This window comes from Homo sapiens, chromosome 20 (assembly GCF_000001405.40).
Source record: "Homo sapiens chromosome 20, GRCh38.p14 Primary Assembly".
NCBI classification, from domain to species: domain Eukaryota; kingdom Metazoa; phylum Chordata; class Mammalia; order Primates; family Hominidae; genus Homo; species Homo sapiens.
Genome location: NC_000020.11, coordinates 62,860,076 through 62,882,653, shown reverse-complemented (window position 1 = coordinate 62,882,653; position 22,578 = coordinate 62,860,076). Strand labels below are relative to the sequence as shown.

Below are 22,578 nucleotides of genomic sequence, written 5' to 3'. Positions count from 1 at the left end.
GGACTGGGTTGGTGCATTCCTGGCACGGTGTGTTCCCAGCTCGTTCCCGGGGCGGTGCGTTCCTGGGGCGGAATCGTCCAGGCTTTTGCAACTGTCTTGACACTTGATCTTATTTTGCCACAGAATGGCTTATTTTTGTCTATTAAACGTTCCCCGTGAAAGCCCTTAATGAAATTCACCTCTAAAGGGTAAAAGCTGGATTTAGATTCTAAAATTTGCACAAATATTTTGTTTTTCAGGTCTTGAGTCACCACGTCCGAATATAATTCTTGGGTTAGTAATCTGCCAAAAAATCAAACGTCCCGCAAACAGTGGAGAGTTAGACAAGATGGACGAAAAGCGGACCCGACTTCAACCGGAAGAAGCGGACGTTCCGGCCTATCCAAAAGTAGCCACAGTCCCGCAGTCGGAAAAGAAGCCCTCCAAGTATCCACTCTGCTCTGCAGACGCGGCTGTCAGCACCACACCTCCTGGGTCGCCGCCGCCTCCGCCCCCTCTTCCAGAACCACCGGTGCTAAAAGTGCTGTCATCCCTCAAACCTGCAGCCCCCAGCCCAGCCACAGCAGCCACAACAGCAGCGGCAGCCTCCACGGCAGCTTCCTCCACCGCTTCGTCTGCTTCCAAAACAGCATCACCGCTGGAGCACATCCTGCAGACTCTCTTTGGAAAGAAGAAATCATTCGACCCGTCCGCCAGAGAGCCTCCCGGGTCCACCGCAGGTCTCCCCCAGGAGCCCAAAACCACAGCAGAGGACGGGGTGCCGGCACCTCCGTTGTTAGATCCGATCGTCCAGCAGTTCGGTCAGTTCTCAAAAGATAAGGCTCTAGAGGAAGAGGAGGACGACAGGCCATACGACCCTGAGGAGGAGTACGACCCGGAGAGGGCCTTCGACACTCAGCTTGTGGAGCGAGGGCGGCGCCACGAGGTGGAAAGGGCTCCTGAAGCAGCTGCAGCCGAGCGGGAAGAGGTGGCCTATGACCCCGAGGATGAGACCATCTTAGAAGAAGCGAAAGTGACTGTTGATGACCTGCCCAACAGGATGTGTGCCGACGTGAGAAGGAACTCCGTGGAGAGGCCTGCCGAGCCGGTGGCCGGGGCTGCGACGCCCTCCCTGGTGGAGCAACAGAAGATGCTAGAAGAGCTGAACAAACAGATCGAGGAGCAGAAGAGACAGCTGGAGGAGCAAGAAGAAGCTCTCAGGCAGCAGAGGGCCGCCGTCGGGGTCTCCATGGCCCACTTCTCGGTGTCGGACGCCTTGATGTCTCCACCACCAAAGTCGTCCTTGCCCAAGGCAGAGCTGTTCCAGCAAGAGCAGCAGTCTGCAGACAAGCCCGCCTCACTGCCCCCCGCCAGCCAGGCGTCAAACCACAGGGACCCCCGGCAGGCGAGGCGCCTGGCCACTGAGACCGGTGAGGGGGAGGGGGAGCCTCTCTCCAGGCTCTCGGCACGTGGTGCCCAGGGTGCCCTGCCCGAGAGAGATGCTTCCAGGGGTGGCCTCGTGGGCCAGGCGCCCATGCCAGTCCCGGAGGAAAAAGAGCCAGCCTCTTCCCCCTGGGCTTCGGGCGAAAAGCCCCCAGCGGGGTCCGAGCAGGACGGCTGGAAGGCAGAGCCTGGGGAGGGCACCCGCCCCGCCACGGTTGGAGACAGCTCGGCCAGGCCTGCCCGGAGGGTGCTGCTGCCCACACCGCCTTGCGGCGCCCTGCAGCCCGGCTTCCCGCTGCAGCACGACGGTGAGAGGGACCCTTTCACCTGCCCGGGGTTCGCGTCGCAGGACAAGGCTCTCGGCTCAGCCCAGTATGAGGACCCAAGAAATCTTCATTCTGCTGGAAGGAGCAGCAGCCCTGCAGGTGAAACAGAGGGGGACAGAGAGCCACAGGCCAGACCCGGCGAGGGCACCGCCCCGCTCCCCCCACCAGGACAGAAAGTGGGGGGCTCTCAGCCCCCGTTTCAGGGTCAGCGGGAACCTGGACCTCATGCTTTGGGGATGTCAGGGCTTCACGGCCCCAATTTCCCGGGACCAAGGGGGCCAGCCCCTCCGTTTCCAGAAGAGAATATCGCTTCTAACGATGGGCCACGAGGGCCTCCGCCAGCCAGATTCGGAGCCCAGAAGGGGCCCATCCCTTCCTTATTCTCGGGGCAACATGGGCCACCTCCTTATGGGGACAGCAGAGGCCCCTCACCCTCTTACCTTGGTGGACCACGAGGAGTGGCACCATCCCAATTTGAAGAACGCAAGGATCCCCATGGGGAGAAGAGGGAGTTCCAGGACGCCCCGTATAACGAGGTGACGGGCGCCCCCGCCCAGTTTGAAGGGACAGAGCAAGCCCCATTTCTGGGAAGCAGAGGCGGCGCGCCTTTCCAGTTCGGAGGCCAGAGAAGGCCACTGCTGTCTCAGCTGAAAGGCCCCCGAGGCGGCCCCCCTCCCTCTCAGTTTGGAGGTCAGAGAGGACCACCCCCTGGTCATTTCGTGGGCCCAAGAGGGCCCCATCCTAGTCAGTTTGAAACTGCCCGGGGCCCTCATCCCAACCAGTTTGAAGGACCCAGAGGCCAAGCGCCTAACTTTATGCCAGGTCCCAGGGGCATTCAGCCTCAGCAGTTCGAAGACCAGAGGGTCCATTCACCACCAAGATTCACAAACCAAAGGGCGCCTGCACCCCTGCAGTTTGGTGGACTACGGGGGTCCGCACCCTTTTCTGAAAAAAATGAGCAGACCCCTTCGCGATTTCACTTCCAGGGCCAGGCCCCGCAGGTGATGAAGCCGGGCCCCAGGCCCCTGCTGGAGCTTCCCAGCCACCCCCCGCAGCACCGGAAGGACCGCTGGGAGGAGGCCGGGCCGCCCTCCGCGCTCTCCTCCAGTGCGCCCGGACAGGGCCCCGAGGCCGACGGACAGTGGGCATCGGCCGACTTCCGAGAGGGGAAAGGCCACGAATACAGAAACCAGACTTTCGAAGGGAGGCAGAGAGAGCGGTTTGACGTGGGGCCCAAAGAGAAGCCGCTGGAGGAGCCCGACGCCCAGGGCCGGGCGTCCGAGGACAGGAGGAGAGAGCGCGAGCGCGGCCGAAACTGGAGCCGAGAGCGGGACTGGGACCGGCCCCGGGAGTGGGACCGACACCGGGACAAGGACTCCAGCCGGGACTGGGACAGAAACCGGGAGAGGAGCGCCAACCGCGACCGAGAGCGCGAGGCCGACCGGGGCAAGGAGTGGGACCGCAGCCGGGAGCGGAGCAGGAACCGAGAGCGCGAGCGAGACCGGAGGCGCGACCGGGACCGGTCCCGGAGCAGAGAGCGGGACCGAGACAAGGCCAGGGACAGGGAGCGGGGCCGCGACCGCAAGGACCGGAGCAAGAGCAAAGAGAGCGCTCGGGACCCGAAGCCCGAGGCCTCGAGGGCCTCCGACGCTGGCACCGCCTCGCAGGCCTAGACGCCCCGGCCGGGCAGAGACCCTTTTTAAAGCCACGTTCGTAAGATGCGTTGAACAAATAGCTTTTGAAATAGCCACGATCTTAGATTCAGGATAGAATATTCTGGACTTAAACATTACTGTAATTTTGTGTAAATGGTTTCTTACAAGATTTCACATCTTTACAATTCTGATGCTTTTTTAAAAAAACTAAACTTTAATATTTCCATTTAAAATTAAAAGAAATGGGAAATTGCCTACGGAGCATATTGCTTTTCAGATCATAGTTATCTTTTCCAATAACTTTATTGTAAATTTTAAGGGAGTTTCGTTGGACCCTAGAGCCATACCTTCACTGACATCTCATCCGTTTGTGTTTCCAAAAGCTGCTTTTACAGGTCTTAGCCGCCGCCCCGGAGGCCGGTGTGGGCGTGACCTGCAGGCGTCCACCCTGCGGCTACGGGAGAAGTCTTAGTAGCTTGTATCTGGAGTCTTGAGAAACACAAACCTTACAAATGCATCTTTCTTTTGTCATAAAATTGGAATTACAATTTTCAACTGGGAAACAGAAACACATTTCTTAGCGTGCTCAGATTTTATATATCACCTTATCAATTTTTTCCAAAACATGATTTAAAGCAACATCTGTCCTAGTATAATTGTTGCATTTTAAATAACAATTTATTGAAAAATGTTAAGTTTTACCAGCCTAAAAAAAGTAACAAACCAATTAAGTGTACTTTGGGGGCAGGGAGGAGTCCTTGATTTGAATAATCAGGAGTTTTGTTGGTCCAGTTTCGCCTTCTGAGCAGTTCTTCTGTATCCCGGGAAAAGTACGCTCGGCCCCAAACTGGTATTTGTCAGACGATACATGTAAAAGTTTGTCCTTGAACGTGGAACAAGACTTGTGTAAAGTCTGAGACGGGAACTAGTGATCACTAGCTCAAGAACTGCAAATGAGACAGGAAGCTGTTCACTGTGAAACAGTCTCTTGCTTGTCGTGTATTTTTCGAGTACTTCTGAAGTGTGAAGTAAAAAAATCTGGCTAATTTATTTGTACAAATACACTTTGATAATTTTTTATATTTTCATAAACTTTTACAGATGTAAAATTAAAGAACTTCACTTGTTCTTTGGAGTCTGTTATTCCATTGTACGTCACTACAGATTTTTCACTTTATAGCACAGATTTTTTAAGTTAAGAAAACATTGAGAATGTATCAGTTTGAGATGTTTGGTGTTGAAAGCCAAGTGTCCATAGGTTAAATTACATTAAAGTAGGTGTCACGTTCCAACATCTAGTACGATGAGAAGGTTTTGTTTGTTTAACATATAAAGCAAATTTTTCTAATTTAAATACACAAATGTAAAAATCAAGTGTGTTTCTTTAGTTTACTTGATAGAGATTCCTGTACATTGTATTTTATATTGCGGAGGCTTATATCACTGTACATGAGAACATGGAACGACCTAGGTTTTGTTACTCGCAGTAGAATAAACAGCTACAGGAAGTTTCTGTCTCGGGTCTTCATCAGCCTTTTTCTAACGCGGAGAAGTTTGGGGTCGTGCACGGACGCCCTGGCCACCCAGTTTCTTGTTGCTGGTTTGCCTGGGCGTGGGCAGGAGTGCCCTTTGGACCCCTCCCTGAACTCATGCTGAGCCCAGGGTGAGACCGGCCGGGTGCGGGTCCCCACATCCTTCCGTCACGGGGCAGCTGTCTCGCTCCCTGTGGGGACCCAGCACCATCCAGCTCTGGAGACGATGGGCAGGAAGGTCGGGAGGAGGGACTCACCCCCTTCAGACCCTCTCCTGGGGCTGAGTGGGAGCCCGAGACCACTGCAACAGCCTCAACTGCGGTGAAGGAGTCTCATGGTTGGGGAGTGAGCCCCGAGGCCCCAGCCCATCCAGGCTGCAGCAGAGTGTGCACCCGCCGACTGCGGGGCGTGCTGCTGCTGAGGATGCAGGTGGGCAGGTGGGCTTGGCGGCCCAGACCCAGCAGTGCCAGTGGAGGAGACGCGGTGGCCCACGTGCCTGCACACAGCGCGGCTGCAGGGACAGGCTCGGGGAGCTGGCGCCTGGCCTGCGAGCTTCCTCTGGTCGCCTGTGGGCCAGAGCTTGGCTTCCGAACAAGCGTATGGGTCCACAGCCCAGCCATGAGCAGACGCCGGTGGGACGTTCCCGCGCAGACCGGTGCAGGCCCCTTGGCCAAGTGTCTGGTGGGGCAGCAACAGCTCTGAGCAGCCTCCTCCAACAGCTCCAGACCGTGACCTGTGCAGCCAAAGGGCTCACTGTGGAAACATGGCGAGGAAGACCTAGCTCCAGTATGCCCCTGGGGTCGGCCGCGTCCCGGTCAGCCACACCAAGCAGGAAAAGGCCCAGGCCCCGGAGCCCTGGCACCCACAGGCCCACAAGGCACCACAGGGTCACTGAGCTGTAGCTCCCTGTTCTAGCACAGAGGCCGAGGCAGCTGTCGGGGGAAAATGGAAAGAGCCATCTCACTCGAGAACTCGGCACGGGGGCCTCCAACGGGGGGTAACACCCAAAGCAGCCAGCACCCTCCCCACACCAGGCATCAGCGAGTCCCAGGGAGGAGGCGGCAGTGGGGATCGTGGCTGTGGCTGAGCTCAGGGGGCCTAACCAGAAGGGGAGAAAAGGAAAGACCACATGAGACATGCCCAGACGGACAGTGACCTCAGCCCTCAGTGGCAGGGCAGCGCCAGTGAACAGGCTGAGCCAGGGCGAGACTGGCTGGGTGCAGGTCCCCACATGCTGGGTCCGTCTTCCTGTGGGACACCTAGCAAAAGGGAGAAGAACCAAGCCTGCCCAAAACGTCACACCCAGCAGTCACTGCTGTCGTTAATTTGGTATTTTCCTTAATCTTTTTCTCTCTGCATCTAAATTTTGACAAAATCGGGGTCCCTCCAGGAGCACGCTGTGGCCTGGGGTTTGCTCCTCCTCCTCCGGCTGCTCTGCTGCTCCCAGCCGACCTCACTCCAGGGCTCAGGGGACCATGTGGGGACCCTGCCATTGGCTGAGTATGTCTGTTCCACAGGAGGCCGGGAGGCTCACTGGGCCTCCTCAGAGGAAAACCTGAACCAACTCCGTCGTCCGCCTCCATAAACCACAGCTCTGCCTGGCATCTGGGCCTCCTGAAATGAATGTCCTTTCAGCTCCAGGGTCTAGTAATTCCTAAAAGGCCTGATTATTTCCCATTCCCGTTGCACAGACTCCTGATAAACAGAGGAAGATTCCTTTGGGAAGGGGCGGTGGGAAGATTAGCTGCATGTTTTTGGCATTTAGCAGGGCCCCTTCCTCTCGGAGACTCAGTCTGTCCTTCATTCCAGGGGCCTGGGTCTGTCCAGAGTCTGGAACTTGGCCGAGGGCCCCGGACTCTGTGTTGGGGCTTCCAGTCAGAGCGCAGGACTCCTGCTCTCGGACCTACAGCCTTTCTGCCAGCACAGAACGGGGACGCCTTTGGCAGGATGTCCTTTTTTTTCAGTTCTAGGGAAGCTGCGCCCATCAGGCAACGCAGGAACTATGTGGGTCAGATGACTGCGCCTCTGCTGCCGCTCACGGCTGTGCTGGGAATCACGTCCGGCAGGATAGCTCCCGCCAGCCCAGAGCGCCACCATCCCCACTGCATTGGGAGCCCAGCTGCATGGCAGCAGTTCCCGCCGCAGTTTTTCGCCTACAGAAAAGAATGATCATGGAGCTCTTCCCCGATGTGGGTGTGGGTGCGGTGTGGGTGAGGGTGCCAGTGAGGGTGCGGTGCGAGTGAGGGTGCGGGTGAGGGTGGGGGTGGGGGTGAGGGTGGGGGTGAGGGTGGGGGTGAGGGTGGGGGTGCGGGTGAGGGTGGGGGTGCGGGTGCGAGTGGGGGTGCGGGTGAGGGTGGGGGTGGGGGTGAGGGTGGGGGTGAGGGTGGGGGTGAGGGTGGGGGTGCGGGTGAGGGTGGGGGTGCGGGTGCGGGTGGGGGGGAGGGTGGGGGTGGGGGTGCGGGTGGGGGTGGGGGTGGGGGTGGGGGTGGGGGTGAGGGTGCAGGTGAGGGTGCGGGGCTCCCCGATGAATTCACTCCTCACAATCCTCGTGAAGGGGTGACCTCCAAGCCCTAAGGACATCAAGCTGGTCTTGCACGATAAATCCATCCCAGCGTTCTGCCGTCCTCTCCAGTGTGCCAGGAAAGTTCTGGATTTCACTGAATTTAGGGTCAGCTACCTGTGGGGCGAAAGTTTCGGTGACTGATGAAGAAAATGGGGGTGGGGGGTGGGTCACTCCCAGCCGTTCCCTCCAACGCATCAAATCCAGAATCTCGTATCTGAGTCCCTGTCCACTTACGCAAGCTTATATTCCTCCCACCCAGATCCCGCACTCTCAACATCGATTTCCACACATTTTCCGCAGGTTTTCGTAGGGAAACATATTTGTAGGCCACACCTCACACTTTCTCTTTTGGGGCCTGCTGGAACTCCAGTCTGGATCTAGGTCTAGAAGGAACACAGAGGTGGTGGTGAGTCCCGGGCAGGACGGCGGCACCTTACAGGGCAGCTCCCTAGGGAAGGCACTTGAGGGTCTTTGGGCAAAGGGGTCTCAGCTCCCCAGGCAGTGGCAGAAGAGCCACATGTGCCTTCAAAGACGACCTGCGGAGTTCACCGGCAGATCCCAATGGACTTGCAGGGCTCGTGGTCCTCAGCTTCACTGGGATCTTCCCACATGCCCCTGTAGGGACCAGCCCCACAGGGTCGGTGGGCTTCTCCCTGTGTGTGGTGACGAGAGAGTGTAAAAATAAAGACACAAGACAAAGAGATAAAAGAAAAGACAGCTGGGCCCGGGGAACCACTACCACCAATGCGCAGAGACCGGTAGTGGCTCCGAATGTCTGGCTGCATTGTTATTTATTGGATACAAAGCAAAAGGGGCAGGGTAAGGAGTGTGAGTCATCTCCAGTGATAGGTAAGGTCACGTGGGTCACGTGTCCACTGGACAGGGGGCCCTCCCCTGCCTGGCAGCCAAGGCAGAGACAGAGAGGGAGAGACAGAGACCGCTTACGCCATTATTTCTGCTTATCAGAGACTTTCAGTACTTTCACTAATTTGCTGCTGCTATCTAGAAGGCAGAGCCAGGTGCACAGGATGGAACATGAAGGCGGACTAGGAGCGTGACCACTGAAGCACAGCATCACAGGGAGACGGTTAGGCCTCCGGATAACTGCGGGCGGGCCTGACTGATGTCAGGCCCTCCGCAAGAGGTGGAGGAGTAGAGTCTTCTCTAAACTCCCCCGGGGAAAGGGAGACTCCCTTTCCCCGTCTGCTAAGTAGCGGGTGTTTTTCCGTGACACTGAGGCTACCGCTAGACCACGGTCCGTCTGGCAACGGGCGTCTTCCCAGACGCTGGCGTCACCGCTAGACCAAGGAGCCCTCTGGTGGCCCTGTCCGGGCGTAACAGAAGGTTCACACTCTTGTCTTCTGGTCACTTCTCACCATGTCCCCTCAGCTCCTGTCTCTGTATGGCCTGGTTTTTCCTAGATTATGATTATAGAGCAAGCATTATAAAGAGTAATTGCTACAAACTAATGATGAAAGATATTCATATATAATCATGTCTATGATCTGTATCTGGTATAACTCTTGTTGTTTTATATATTTTATTACACTGGAACAGCTCGTGCCCTCGGTCTCTTGCCTCGGCACCTGGGTGGCTTGCCGCCCACATGCCCCCATTGCAACGTCAGGTTCCCATTCTTTCCCAACTTCCCTAACTTTAACAAAAGAGGCACTGCAAAGTCGAAACTGCAGTTTAGGCTGTAATTAAATCATCCAGGAGACTAGGCTTCAGGTTTGCTTTGCAGAAATCTCAGCCCCATGGCTACAGGAGATAAGGACTTACTTTAAGGCAGTCATAGAGGCTTTCAGGTTCCTTTTTCAGACTCCAAGCCAGGCATTTAAAGCATCGAGAGCTGGAGCTGCTGTGTCCATCACCAGCAGGTCCTCGTCCTGCTAATTCCTGTCTACAGCTTCACCAGCACATGGGCCAGTGAGATGTCCCTGCCTCCCTCTTTCTTCCTCAGTTCTTTCTCTTCCCCCTTGTTCAATTTGCCTGGAAGCATGAAAGAAGAAAGCACAGGGCCCCCCAAGCCCCTCTGCTTCTGCCCATCACAAGTGCCACGAACCCATGGTCCCCGCCATCTCCTCTCTCTTCTCCCGCCTCTTCAGCAAGAAGCAGATGCACATTTGGACGGTTCGATTGGATGCTGCCTATACATTGTGTATAAACTGAAGTTAGGGGAGGTACTCACCACAGTTCCTGCCATTGGTTTTAACATGGAAAGAGTAGAATATAAGAACACTTGTTTTGGGCCAGGCACGGTAGCTCATGCCTATAATCCCAGCACTTTGGGAGGCCGAGGCAGGCAGATCACAAGGTCAGGAGTTCAAGACCAGCCTGGCCAATATGGTGGAACCCTGTCTCTACTAAATATACAAAAATTAGCCAGGCATAGTGGTGGGCTCCTGTAATCCCAGCTACTCGGGAGGCCGAGGCAGGAGAATTGCTTGAACCCGGGAGGTGGAAGTTGTAGTGAGCTGAGATTGCGCCATTGCACTCCAGCCTGGATGACAGAGCGAGACTCTGACTCAAAAAGAGAACACTTGTTTCATGGTGTGGGATGTTCATGGTCAAGATGTAATTAGGCTTCTCTGGAAGCATTACTTCCAGAATACCCAGGGTTTTCTTTTGCTGGTAGATAGCAACGATCATGAAAGAATTCGGGAAGTGGCGGACGCGCTGCAGAAAAGGCTTCTGGCCGGTGAGTGTGGAGACGCAGCGCCACTGCTCTCTGCAAACAAACAGGGTTTGCCCAGCGCTCGGGCCATCAGTGTGACGACAGATGAGCCAGCCAGCTCTTCAGTCTCTTCCTAACAGGACATGGTATGTTCAAGCCACTTGTGCAACACGGAGCTGGTGTAGATGAGGGACTTGACTGGCTGTCAAATGAGTTTTCAAAACGTTAAATGAAACTAGACATCTAACCAAAGACATGTTTGATAAAATTGGTCTAGACTTGCTACAGCAAAATTTGTTTGTATCTTGGTTAAGAAACAGCATCTGGGACTGGCTTGGGCAGAATAATAAACTTATTTTGTTGCCAATTATTGTTTGCCAAATATAATGTTGTTATTTAGCAATGTGCTTGGTTTTAAAGAAATTCTTCTTGGGAAAAAGGTGTCCTCATTTACTTCCCATGAGCCTAAAGCCTGGACATAGTTATTGTAAAACCTTTAAATAAATCCACCTTGGAAGTTAAGATACATAAAAATAAATAAGGTGGGGCGTGGTGGCTCACGCCTGTGGGAGCACTGTCTGTGAGGAGGTGAATCCCTTGAGCTTGTTGGAGACAAGGCTGGGCAACATGGTGAACCTTGCCTCTATTTAAAAAAAAAAAAAAAAAAAGGCCGTGCACGGTGGCTCATGCCTGTAATCCCAGCATTTTGGGAGGCCGAGGCGGGGGGATCATGAGGTCAGGAGATCGAGACCATCCTGGCTCACATGGTGAAACCCCAAACCCCGTCTCTACTAAAAAAATTAGCTGGGCATGGTGGCACGTGCCTGTAATCCCAGCTACTCGGGAGGCTGAGGCAGAAGAATCGCTTGAACCCAGGAGGCGGACGTTGCAGTGAACCAACATCGTGCCACCGTACTCCAGCCTGGGTGACAGAGACTCCATCTAAAAAGAAAAAAAAAGAAAAAAAAAATTCGGCTGGGCACGGTGATTCACACCTGTAATCCCAGCACTTTGGGAGGCCGAGGCAGGCAGATCACTTGAGGTCAGGAGCTCGAGACCAGCCTGGCCAACATGGTGAAACCCTGTCTCTACCAGAAAAATACAAAAAATAGCCAGGCATCGTGGCATGTGCCTGTAATCCCAGCTGCTTGGGTGGCTGAGGTAGGAGAATCGTTTGAACCCAGGAGGCAGAGGTGGCAGTGAGCCGAGATCGCACCACTGCACTCCAGCCTGGGTGACAGAGCAAGACTCCGCCTCAAAAACAAACAAATAAATAAATAAATAAATAAATAAAATAAAGCACTGACTCACCATTTTCTTTTCCCAGATTATCCAGAGCACTTGGGCAAAAGCCTCCACCCCATTTTTACTAGAATGTTCAATGGCAGCCTTGGTTCCAGAGGCACTTGGTTGAATTTTGCCCATTGATGCTCATTTGCATGAATTATCAGCGCCTCTTTCCCGTGAGAAACGGTTACCAATGCTTTTAAATCAAAGGCAATCAAAGATCCAGCTCCAGAAAACCCAGAACCAGCTTTGATCACTCCACATCACGGAACAGAAAAATCAATTGGCCCAGGAGTCCAAGAAGCTACAGGAGGATGAGAGGAAGGGGAGCAGTTGCCGGCAGGCCTGGTGACCCTGCCCTGCTCAACCTTCCAAGAATTTGAGAGAGAAAGAAAGAAAAAAAACCCTGCTTGCTGCGGTCTGAGTTTGTATCCCTCCAAGATTCATACTGAAACCTAATCTGCACTGTGGTGGCATTAAGAAGAGGGGTCTTTAAAACAATGGCCGGGTGCGGTGGCTCACGCCTGTAATCCCAGCACTTTGGGAGGCCGAGGCGGGCGGGTCACCTGAGGTCAGGAGTTCAAGACCAGCCTGACCAACATGGTGAAACCCTGTCTCTACTGAAAATACAAAACTATTAGCCAGGCGTGGTGGCACGTGCCTGTAATCCCAGCTACTCAGGAGGCTGAGGCAGAAGAATTGCTTGAACCCGGGAGGCAGACGTTGCAGTGAACCGAGATCATGCCATTGCACCCCAGCCTGGGCAATAAATCGAGACTCCATCTCAAAAAAATAAATAAATAAAAAATAAGAAGAGGGGCCTTTAGGAGGTGACTAGGTCATGACGGGAGAGCCATCATGAATGGGATTAGTGCCCTTTTACAAGAGGCCTGGGGGAGCTGATTTTCTCTCTCTGCCACATGAGGATGTGGCAGGAAGGCAGCATCTGAGCGGAACAGGCCCTCATCAGCCATCACATATGCTGGTGCCTTGATCTGGGACTTTCCAGCTTCCAGAACTAGGAGCAATACATTTTTGTTGTTTATAAGTGACCCAGTCTAAGGTGTCTTGTTATGACAGCACAAATGGACTAAGACACTGCTGGGTTTTTATTGGAACTGCATACATCAGTTTTGGGAATAACAGACATCTTAACACTATCGAACCTTCCAATCCATGAACATAGTATATCTCTATATTTGTCCATCTTTTTAATTTATTTCAACAGTATTTTGTAGTTTTCAGTGTACAGTCTTTTACATCTTTCATCAAATTTATTTCTAAGTTTTGTTTTTTTTTTTTTTTTTTTTTTGAGACAGTGTCTCACTTTGTCACTGAGACTGAAGTGCAGTGGCACGATCTCGGCTCACTGCAACCTCTGCCTCCCGGATTCAAGCAATTCTCCTGCCTCAGCCTCCTGAGTAGCTGGGATTACAGGTGCCCGCCACCACGCCCAGCTAATTTTTGTATTTTTTTGTAGAGACAGGATTTCGCCACGTTGGCCAGGCTGGTCTCGAACTCCTGGCATCCAATGATCCGTCCATCTCAGCCTCCCAAAGCGCTGGGATTACAGGGCTAACATTATTTAAAAATAATTTTGGGCTGGGTGGGGTGGCTCATGCCTGTAATCCTAGCACTTTGGGAGGCCGAGGCAGGTGGATCACAAGGTCAGGAGTTCAAGACCACCCTGGCCAATATGGTGAAACCTGTCTCTACTAAAAATACAAAAATTAGCCAGGTGTGGTGACGGGTGCCTGTATTCCCAGCTACTTGGGAGGCTGAGGCAGGAGAATTGCTTGAACCCGGGAGGCAGAGGTTGCAGTGAGCCGAGATCGTGCCACTGCACTTCAGTCTCAGTGACAAAGTGAGACTCTGTCTCAAAAAAAAAAAAAAAAAAAAAGAATTTTGGGCTGGGCATGGTGGCTCACAACTGTAATCCCAACACTTTGGGAGGCTGAGGTGGAAGGATTGCTTGAGCTCAGGAATTCGAGACCAGCCTGGGCAACATAGCAAGGCTCTTGTCTCTACAAAAAAATTTTTTTAAATTGCCAGGTATTCTGGCATGCCTGTGGTCCCAGCTACTGAGGAGGCCGAGGTGGGAAGATCGCTTGAGCCCATGAGATTGAGGCAGCAGTGAGCCATGGTCACACCACTGCACTCTAGTCTGGGTGACAGAGCAAGACCCTGTCTCTTGAAACTTTTTTTTAAAGTAATAAATAAAAATAAAAATAACTTTTGCATCTTTGCTCCTGTCAGATATTGCTCTGTAGTTCTGTTTTGTCTGGTTTTGATATCAGAGTTATGTTTGTTTCATAGAATGCTTTAGAAAGTATCCCCTCCTGTTCAGTTTCTTGGAAGAGTTCGTATTACCAATAGAACTGGTATTATTTCTTCCTTAAATGTTTAGTAGGATTAGCTCGTGAAGACATCTGTTAGAGGCATTTTCTTTATGAGAAGGTCCTTAATTACCAGTTCAATTTTATCAACAGATATAGAGAAAATAAAGTTATCTATTTATTCTTGAGTGAGCTTTTGTAATTTATGTATTTTGAGGAATTTGCCCATTTTGTCTAAGTTGTTGATTTTATTGCCATAAAGTTGTTCATAATAGCCCCTTAATATACGTTCAATATCTACAGAAGCTTTTTTTCTTCATTTTATTTTTGAGACAGGGTCTCACTGTCACCCAGGCTGGAGTGCAGTGGCATGATCACAGCTCACTGCAGCCTCTGCCTCCCAGGCTCAAGTGATCCTCCCACCTCCAGCCTCCCAAGTAGCTGGAATCACAGACATGTGCCACCACTCCCGGCTAATTGTTGGTGTTTTTCGTGGAGATGGGGTTTTGCCATGTTGCCCAGGCTGGTTATAAACTTCTAAGCTTAAGCGGCCTGTGCACCCTGGCCTCCCAAAGTGTTGGGAGTATAGGCATGAGCCACTGCACCCATCCAGTATCTTTAGAATCTTTACTGCTGTCACCGCCTATTCCTGATTCTGGTCATTTGTTTTTCTCTTTTTTCCTGCTCAGTCTGGCCAGAGGTTGATACATCTTATTGCTTCTCTCAGAGAACCGGCCTTCAGTTTTTTTTCTTTTTTCTCTTTTGAGACGGAGTCTCGTTCTGTCACCCAGGCTGGAGTGCAATGGTGCAATCTCCACTCACTGCAACCTCTGCCTCCCAGGTTCAAGCAACTCTCCTGCCTCAGCCTCCCGAGTAGCTGGGATTACAGGTGCCCACCACCACGCCCGGCCAATTTTTGTATTTTTAGTAGAGACGGGGTTTTTCACCATGTTGGCCAAGCTGGTCTCGAACTCCTGACATCAGGAGATCCACCCTCCTCGGCCTCCCAAAGTGCTGGGATTACAGGCATGAACCACCGCGCCCGGCCAGCCTTTGGTTTCATTTGAGCTTTTCTCTACGGTTTTTCTGTTTTTTATTGTATTTAGAAATACAATGGAAACTGACGCACAGTTCTGCTTACTTTACTCTTCCTTTTCTACTCTTCCTTTTCAACAGTGCAGAAGTTGAGATTAATAATTTGATACTTGTCTTCTTTTGTGATTGCTATACTTTTCTAAGTATTTCTTTAGCTATATTCCATGAATTTTGATGTTGTCGTTTTCATTTTTGCTCATTTCTAAATACTTTATAACTTCCCTTTTGATTTCTTTGACCCGTGAGACATTTAGAAATGTATTATTTAGTTGCCAAATGTTCGGAGATTTACAATATCTCAAATATCTTTACATTAGATTTGAAATTAAATTCAGTCGTGGTTGAGGACATATTTTTCTAAAGTTTAAATTTATTGAGACATATTTTATGGTCCAAATTATGGTTTATCTTGGTAGATGTTACCTATCCAGTTGAAAAGACTGTATTCTGATGTGGGTGGTTGGGGTGTTCTATAAACATCAACTAGAGCAAGTTGGTTGATGGCATTGTCCAGGTCTTCTGCATCCTTTCTGATTTTCTGTCTTTCTCCTCTCTCTCTTTCTTTTGAGACGGAGTCTCACTCTGTCACCCAGGCTGGAGTGCAATGGCACAATCTCTGCTCACTGTAACCTCTGCCTCCCGGGTTCAAGAGATTCTCTTGCCTCAGGCTCCCGAGTAGCTAGGATTACAGGCATGCGCCACCATGCCCAGCTAATTTTTTTTTTTTTTTTTTTTTTTTTTAGGTAGAGACGGGGTTTCTCCGTGTTGGTCAGGCTGATCTCGGACTCCTGACCTCAGGTGATCCACCTGCCTCAGCCTCCCAAAGTGCTGGGATTACAGGCGTGAGCCACCGTGCCCAGAATTTTTTTTTTTTTTGTGAGATGGAGTCTTCCTCTGTCGCCCAGGCTGGAGTGCAGTGGCACAATCTCAGCTCACTGCAACCTCCATTTCTCTGGTTCAAGCAATTCCCCTGCTTCAGCCTCCCGAGTCGCTGGATTACAGGTTCACGCCACCACGCCCGGCTAATTTTTTTGTATTTTTAGTAGAGATGGGGTTTCACTATGTTGGCCAGACTGGTCTCCAACTCCTGACCTTGTGATCTGCCCGCCTTGGCCTCCCAAAGTGCTGGGATTATAGGTGTGAGCCACTGCGCCCGGCCTGCTCCATGGTTTGTTTTGTTTTGTTTTGTTATTTTTTATTTATTATTTTTTTGAGACAGGGTTTCGCTCTGTTGCCCAGGCTGGAGTTCAGTGGCACAATATCAGTTCACTGCAACCTCTGCCTCCCAAGTTCAAGTGATTCTCCTGCCTCAGCCTGCCAAGTAGCTGGGATTACAGGCGCACACCACCATGCCCAGCCAATTTTTGTATTTTTAGTAAAGATGGGGTTTTGCCATGTTAGCCAGGCTGGTCTCGAACTCCTGACATCAAGTGATCCGCTCGCCTCGGCCTCCCAAAGTGCTGGGATCACAGGTGTGAGCCACTGCACCCGGCCCTGCTCCATGTATTTTTAAGCTTTCTAATTAGATGCATTTAATCAGGAAAATGTTCTGCCCCCTATTTCACTATGAAATGACCAGAATCGCTGGCAAAATTCTTGGCTCTGAAATCTACTTTAGTATTTGTTTTCTTCTTTTTCTTCAGACCCGCCTCCTGGAAATTGACTTTAGTGTTTATATGCCTATTCCAGCTGCCTTTCGACAGCGCTAGGGAGGTGCGCACTTTCCATCCTTTCTCTTTAAAATGAGTTTCTTACGGGCACTCCAAGGTCTGACTTACAGAGTCTCACTCTGTCGCCCAGGCTGGAGTGCAGAGCTGGGACCTCAGCTCACTGCAAGGTCCGCCTCCCAGGTTCGCGCCATTCTCCTGCCTCAGCCTCCCGAGTACCTGGGACTACAGGTGCCCGCCCCCACGCCTGGCTAATTTTTTGTATTTTTCAGTAGAGACGGGGTTTCACCGTGTTAGCCAGGATGGTCTTGATCTCCTGACCTTGTGATCCGCCCGCCTCGGCCTCCCAGAGTGCTGGGATTACAGGCGTGAGCCACCGCGCCCGGCCTCCAAGTTCTGACTTTTTATCCATTCTGGTCTCTGCTTTCTCATTGACGTGTTTAAACCTTTTACATCTCATGTGATTTTTTTTTATTGGATTTAAATCTACTATCTTGCTATTTATTCTCTATTTGTCCCGTGTGCTCTTTGTTCTATTTTTCTTTTTTCTGCCTCTTGCATTTTTAATTTTTGTATCATTTATTTATTTACTTTAGAGGTGAGGTCTGTCATTCAGGCTGGTGTGCAGTGGCACAATCATATCTCACTTTCTGCCCCTTTGAGAGTCTGATTCCATTTTCTCTCCTTTATTGATTTATTAGCCATCACCCTTTGTTGCTGTATTGCAGTGGTTGTGGTAAGGCTCGTAATAAATAGCTTTAACCCGTCCAGTCTCTTCATTCTTCTGTGGAGACCCCGACTTCTATCCAGTCTCACCTTCCTTTTGTCTGAAGGACTTCTGGAACATGTCTTGTACTGCAAGTCTGCTAGTGATGGATTATTTTAGCTTTTGTAAGTGCAAAAAAGTCTTTATTTTGCCTTTGTTTTTGAAAAATATCTTTGCTGGGCATAGAACTACAGTTATTCCTCAGTATCCCTGGGGGATTGGTTCCAGTACCTGCCATGGGTACCAAAATCCACGAATGTTCAAGTCCCTTATGCAAAATGTCATAGTGTTTCCATATAACCTATGCACATTCTTCCATACACTTTAAATCATCTGTAGCGGCGAGCGTGATGACTCACACCTGTAATCTCTGTAATTTGGTAGGCTGAGGTGGGAGGATCACTTGAGGCCAGGAGTTCAAGACCAGCCTGGGCAACATAGTAAGATACCATCTCTACAAAAAATAAAATAAAATAAAAATTAGCAGGGCATGGTGGTGTGTGCCTGTGGTCCCAGCTACTCGGCAGAGTCATGCAGGAGGATTGGTTGAGCTCAGGAGGTCGAGGCTGCAGTGAGCTATAACCGTATTATCCTACTCCAGCCTGGGAGACAGAGCGAGACCCTGTTTCTAAAATATATACATATCGAGATTACTTATAATACCTCATGCGATGTACATGCTAAATGAATACTTGTTATACCATATTGTTTAAGGAATAATGACAAGGAAGAGCAGTCTGTGCATTTCGGTGCAAGTAATTTTTTTCTGAGTATTTTTGATCCTTGGTTGAATCCACAGACGCAGAGCCTGTGAATACAGACGCCTGACACTATCAGTCAGCTTCTCCCTTGCCCTCAGCACTTCAAAGGTGTGATTCCACTCTGTTCTGACTTGCATTATTCCTGAAGAAATGTCTGCAATCACTGCAATCTTTTCATTTATTTTTTTAGAAGGAGTCTCTCGCTCTGTCACTAGGCTGGAGGGCAGTGGCGTGATCTTGGCTCACTGCAACCTCCACCTCCCAGGTTCAAGCGGTTCTCGTGCCTCAGCCTCCTGAGTTACCTGGGATTACAGGCCTGTGCCACCACACCCAGCTATTTTTTTTTATTTTTAGTAGAGATGGGATTTCACCATGTTTACCAGGATGGACTCGATCTCCTGACCTTGTGATCCGCCCGCCTCAGCCTCCCAAAGTGCTGGGATTACAGGCGTGAGCCACCGCGCCTGGCCTGTAATCATTCTTATCTTTGTTCCTCTGTACACAATGTCTTGTGTGTGTGTGTGTGTGTGTGTACAGCTGCTTTTAAGATTTTTCACTGATTTAAAGCAATTTGAGGCCAGGCACGGTGGCTTATGCCTGTAATCCCAGCATTCGGGAGACCAAGGTGGGCAGATCACCTGAAGTCAGGAGTTCAAGACCAGCCTGACCAACATGGCAAAATCCCGTCTCTACTAAAAATACAAAAAATTGGCCAGGCATGGTGGCACATGCCTATAATCCCAGCTATTCAGGAGGCTGAGGCAGGAGAATCACTTGAATCCAGGAGGCAGAGGTTGTGCTGAGTCAAGATCGTGCCATTGCACTCCAGCCTGGGAGACAGAGCAAGACTCCATCTCAAAAAATAAAAAAATAAATAAATAAAGCAATTTGCTTTCCATCTTGGTGTAGTTTCCTTCATGTTTCTTGAGTTTGAGGTATGTTAAACTTCTTGGGTCTGTAGGTTTGTAGTTTTAAAAAAACTTTTCAATCATTATTTTTTTTTGTTGTTTTGTTTTTGTTTTTTGAGACAGCGTCTTGCTCTGTCTCCCAGGCTGGAGTGCAGTGGTGCAATCTCTACTCACTGAAACCTCCACCTCCCGGGTTCCAGCGATTCTTCTGCCTCAGCTTCCTGAGTAGCTGGGATTACAGGCACATGCCACCACACCTGGCTAATTTTTTATATTTTTAGTAGACACGAGATTTCATCATGTTGGCCAAGCTGATCTCGAACTCCTGACCTCAAGGGATCTGCCCGCCTCGGCCTCCCAAAGTGCTGGGATTACAGGCGTGAGCCACCTCACCTGGCAATCATTACTTCTTAAAATGTCTTTCTCCCCATCCTTCCACCCCCAGGGGACTTCAAATCACACTGCTTGAAGCGGCCCCACAGCTCACTGATGCTCTGCTCACTCTCTTAGCCTTCCCTCTCTGTTTTACGTTAGACGACTTCTGTTGCCATGTCCTTGAGAGTTTTAAGTCCTTGCTTTCCTCCTTGGTAGTGTTTTCTGAAACCTGATGTTTTGCCCAAAACTGATATATTATTTTCATGTATACATGTGTGAGTTTAGATTTGCATGGCTGAGCTTTCATAGCCCATCGTTGAATCATTGTAATATATTGGTCTGTGTCTAAACTGTGATGAAATGAGCGAAAGATTCAGACCCGGCTTAGAAGACGATGTGCAAGTCACAGGCCTTTAAGTGTCCTAATGCCTAGACAGAGAACAGACAACCACTGAGTGAGATGGGAATGTGGGTGAGAGGTTAAGTACAGGAATTATTTCAAGATTGCAAAAATAAGTCTCTTAAAGACCACATATTGCATAGTTCCCTTAACAGGGAAGGCCCAGCCTAGGCAAACTCCTGGACACAGAAGATTAGTGGCTGCAGGCGGGGGAGGGGCAGTGTGCTGACTGCTACAGGAGACCGGTGGTGAATGCAGCGGTGGAGGCGGGCCCAGCGCTGGGAATGTACCACCACCGTCGCGCTGTGCATTTTTTTTTTTTTTTTGAGATGAAGTCTGGCTCTGTTGCCCAGGCTGGAGTGCAGTGGCAAGATCTCGACTCACTGCAACCTCCGCCTCCCGGGTTCAAGCGATTCTCCTGCCTCAGCCTCCCGAGTAGCTGGGATTACAGGCACGCACTACCACGTCCAGCTAATTTTTGTATTTTTAGTAGAGACGGGGTTTCACCATGTTGGCCAGGCTGGTCTCGATCTCCTGACCTCCTGATCCACCTGCCTCGGCCTCCCAAAGTACTGGGATTACAGGCATGAGCCACAGAACCCGGCCATGCGCTGCGCATTTTACGCGGATGAAGCGGATGGCCTGGGCACTGTGGACTGTGGGTCCAGGGAGCTGTTTTGACAACGTCTTCATTCCTGCCGCTGTAATGGGGCGCACGTGCACGCACGGACGTGGCTTCTCCCCAGGGTGTCACCGCGTAGGTATCACGCTGATTCCAGCGCAGCCGCCCTCGCCGGGCCTCAGCGGGGAGTGGCCGGGCAGCAGGGGCGTGGCTGGGAACCGGGCGTGGCCTGAGCTGGGGGCGTGGCCTAGCTGTGGGGGCGTGGCTGGGCCGTGGGGGCGGGCCCTCCGCGCAAGCATCCGCCGACGTGGGGCGGGGCCGGGCGTGCGGGCGGTTGGGCGGGGGCGGGGCCGGCGGCGGCGGGTAACGGAGGGGGCGGGGCTGGCGCAGGGGTGGGGTTGCCGTTGCGGGGCGGGGCGGCGCAGGCGCTGTGCGCGGCACTCAGCGGTTTTCCCTCCCCCAACGGCGCGCCGGCTGTGGCCGGCGCAGAGTAGTGCTCGGGCCGGGGGTCGCCTCCCGCCTCCCGCCTCCCGCCTCCCGCCGCCCGCCGCCCGCGTCGCCCTCGCCGCCGTTGGGCCGCGCCGCGCCGCCATGTCGGGCCCCGGACCGCGGGAGCCGCCGCCGGAGGCAGGCGCGGCAGGCGGCGAGGCGGCCGTCGAGGGCGCGGGCGGCGGGGACGCGGCGCTGGGCGAGCCGGGGCTGAGCTTCACGACCACCGACCTGAGCCTGGTGGAGATGACGGAGGTGGAGTACACGCAGCTGCAGCACATCCTCTGCTCGCACATGGAGGCGGCGGCTGACGGCGAGCTCGAGACGCGCCTCAACTCGGCGCTGCTGGCGGCGGCGGGCCCGGGCGCAGGCGCGGGCGGCTTCGCGGCGGGCGGTCAGGGGGGCGCGGCGCCCGTGTACCCCGTGCTGTGCCCGTCCGCGCTGGCGGCCGACGCGCCCTGCCTGGGCCACATCGACTTCCAGGAGCTGCGCATGATGCTGCTAAGCGAGGCGGGCGCGGCGGAGAAGACGTCGGGCGGCGGGGACGGAGCGAGGGCCCGGGCCGACGGCGCCGCCAAGGAGGGCGCGGGCGCGGCTGCGGCTGCGGCTGGACCCGACGGCGCGCCCGAGGCCCGGGCCAAGCCGGCCGTGCGCGTCCGCCTGGAGGACCGCTTCAACAGCATCCCCGCCGAGCCGCCGCCCGCGCCGCGCGGCCCCGAGCCCCCCGAGCCGGGCGGGGCGCTCAACAAGTGCGTGCCCGGCGGCCGGGGGCTGGCGGGGCCCGGGTGGAGGCCGAGGCCGGGGCCGGGGCCGGGGCGGAGGCAAAGGGGGCCCTCGCTGTGCACGCCCCCAGCCTGCCCTCCCGGCGGCACAGGGCGCGGACCTCACCGGGTCTGGGGCCGCCCCGAAAGGCTGTGTGCGCTGTGCGGGCCCCGGGGAGCAGGTACTTCCAGAAACTAAACACCCCCTCCCTCAGTGGCCCCGCCTGGAGTGGGGCCGAGCGCGCAGAATTCCTGGGAACCATGTGCTCCGGGTGGCACTCTTGGATGTCAGGGAAGCCTAGGAAGGCCCGACGGGGGTTTGCAGGCTTTGAGCTCTAAAATGAGGCTCCAGCCTGCAGCCGCCCCCTTGGCGACCCTCAGGGATGGCTGTGGAAGGGGCTGCGTCCGCAGTTTTCTGCTCATCCCAGCCTGTAGTTGCCCATCGTGGTCACACTGGAGGATGGCAAAAGTGAGATTGGTGTCAGGATGTGATGAGAGCAGGGAGGTGGCGCAGTTTTGCTTTTCCTCCATAGGAAGAGGAGGACTTCCACAGCAGCGATAGTTGCTAATTGTTGTGTAGAGATTTCCAGGATGAGAGTTGGGTTGCTGTCTGGAAAAACTAGCCAGAGCCATGGGAGTGGGATGGTGGATGCTTGTCTGCCACGTATTGCTGACACTTCTGGGCTTTCTTTTGTCTTGGCAGTTTGGTAACTCTCATTCGACATCCATCTGAACTAATGAATGTTCCTCTTCAGCAACAAAACAAATGTACAGCATTAGTGAAAAATAAAACTGCGGCTACAACTACTGCTTTGCAATTTACATACCCACTGTTTACTACAAATGCTTGCTCTACTAGTGGAAATTCTAATCTTTCACAGACACAGGTAGGGAACATGATTTGTGAAGCTTTGCTCTTTTGTATTAAATGGGTAA

The 22,578-nt window shown here is 52.7% G+C and overlaps 2 protein-coding genes, 1 long non-coding RNA gene and 1 pseudogene across 19 annotated transcripts in view, besides 8 other annotated features; 3 read left to right on the top strand and 1 right to left on the bottom strand.

The window, feature by feature from the left end:
* The window catches only part of DIDO1 (death inducer-obliterator 1), a 60,162-nt gene extending 55,251 nt beyond the window's left edge, over nucleotides 1-4,911 (top strand). For both annotated transcript variants that reach the window (NM_033081.3, NM_001193369.2), the window contains exon 16: nucleotides 240-4,911. In NM_033081.3, the coding sequence (NP_149072.2) occupies nucleotides 240-3,421 (3,182 nt within the window). In that variant the 3' untranslated portion in view covers nucleotides 3,422-4,911. The remainder of the gene's footprint in view (nucleotides 1-239) is intronic.
* Nucleotides 1,946-2,146: a silencer, noted in NCBI's record as "peak4302 fragment used in MPRA reporter construct". NCBI's record gives its function as "represses an SCP1 promoter by STARR-seq MPRAs in K562 erythroleukemia cells {active_cell/tissue: K562}" and the evidence as "EXISTENCE:reporter gene assay evidence [ECO:0000049][PMID:32103011]".
* Nucleotides 3,063-3,357: a silencer, noted in NCBI's record as "tiled region #11652; HepG2 Repressive DNase matched - State 18:Pol2". NCBI's record gives its function as "represses a minimal TATA promoter and a strong SV40 promoter by Sharpr-MPRA in HepG2 cells {active_cell/tissue: HepG2}" and the evidence as "EXISTENCE:reporter gene assay evidence [ECO:0000049][PMID:27701403]".
* Nucleotides 3,688-21,219, bottom strand: LOC105372717 (uncharacterized). 3 transcript variants are annotated; one of them, XR_936988.4, is made up of 4 exons: nucleotides 21,113-21,219; nucleotides 7,733-7,881; nucleotides 7,477-7,612; nucleotides 3,688-7,088 (listed from the first exon to the last, which is right to left on the bottom strand). It is a non-coding gene; the product is annotated as an uncharacterized LOC105372717 (long non-coding RNA). The 3 variants fall into 3 exon arrangements; XR_936989.4 differs by having other exon boundaries at nucleotides 3,688-5,867; XR_007067712.1 differs by having other exon boundaries at nucleotides 4,063-5,668.
* Nucleotides 6,012-6,665: an enhancer, noted in NCBI's record as "H3K27ac-H3K4me1 hESC enhancer chr20:61507341-61507994 (GRCh37/hg19 assembly coordinates)". NCBI's record gives its function as "activates a minimal SCP1, AML or CMV promoter by ChIP-STARR-seq in naive H9 embryonic stem cells {active_cell/tissue: H9 hESC(naive)}" and the evidence as "EXISTENCE:reporter gene assay evidence [ECO:0000049][PMID:30033119]".
* Nucleotides 6,666-7,320: an enhancer, noted in NCBI's record as "H3K4me1 hESC enhancer chr20:61506686-61507340 (GRCh37/hg19 assembly coordinates)". NCBI's record gives its function as "activates a minimal SCP1, AML or CMV promoter by ChIP-STARR-seq in naive H9 embryonic stem cells {active_cell/tissue: H9 hESC(naive)}" and the evidence as "EXISTENCE:reporter gene assay evidence [ECO:0000049][PMID:30033119]".
* On the top strand, nucleotides 9,374-10,681 carry ARF4P2 (ARF GTPase 4 pseudogene 2; annotated as a pseudogene).
* Nucleotides 20,385-21,039: an enhancer, noted in NCBI's record as "H3K27ac-H3K4me1 hESC enhancer chr20:61492967-61493621 (GRCh37/hg19 assembly coordinates)". NCBI's record gives its function as "activates a minimal SCP1, AML or CMV promoter by ChIP-STARR-seq in naive H9 embryonic stem cells {active_cell/tissue: H9 hESC(naive)}" and the evidence as "EXISTENCE:reporter gene assay evidence [ECO:0000049][PMID:30033119]".
* Nucleotides 20,424-20,523: a silencer, noted in NCBI's record as "silent region_13129". NCBI's record gives its function as "represses an Ori minimal core promoter by ATAC-STARR-seq in GM12878 lymphoblastoid cells {active_cell/tissue: GM12878}" and the evidence as "EXISTENCE:reporter gene assay evidence [ECO:0000049][PMID:35858748]".
* Nucleotides 20,574-20,763: a silencer, noted in NCBI's record as "silent region_13128". NCBI's record gives its function as "represses an Ori minimal core promoter by ATAC-STARR-seq in GM12878 lymphoblastoid cells {active_cell/tissue: GM12878}" and the evidence as "EXISTENCE:reporter gene assay evidence [ECO:0000049][PMID:35858748]".
* The window catches only part of TCFL5 (transcription factor like 5), a 20,818-nt gene continuing 19,071 nt past the window's right edge, over nucleotides 20,832-22,578 (top strand). For 12 of the 14 annotated variants that reach the window (XR_007067444.1, XM_024451813.2, XM_005260185.5 and 9 more), the window contains exons 1-2: nucleotides 20,832-21,630; nucleotides 22,346-22,529. Coding sequence is in view for 13 of the 14 variants with exons in the window: in XM_024451813.2 (XP_024307581.1) it covers nucleotides 20,984-21,630; nucleotides 22,346-22,529 (831 nt within the window). In the remaining variant the exon portion in view is untranslated. Of the gene's footprint in view, nucleotides 21,825-22,345; nucleotides 22,530-22,578 lie in introns of those variants that run through there. The other 2 variants (XM_047439839.1, XM_047439840.1) reach the window with 2 other exon arrangements.
* Nucleotides 21,264-21,413: a silencer, noted in NCBI's record as "silent region_13127". NCBI's record gives its function as "represses an Ori minimal core promoter by ATAC-STARR-seq in GM12878 lymphoblastoid cells {active_cell/tissue: GM12878}" and the evidence as "EXISTENCE:reporter gene assay evidence [ECO:0000049][PMID:35858748]".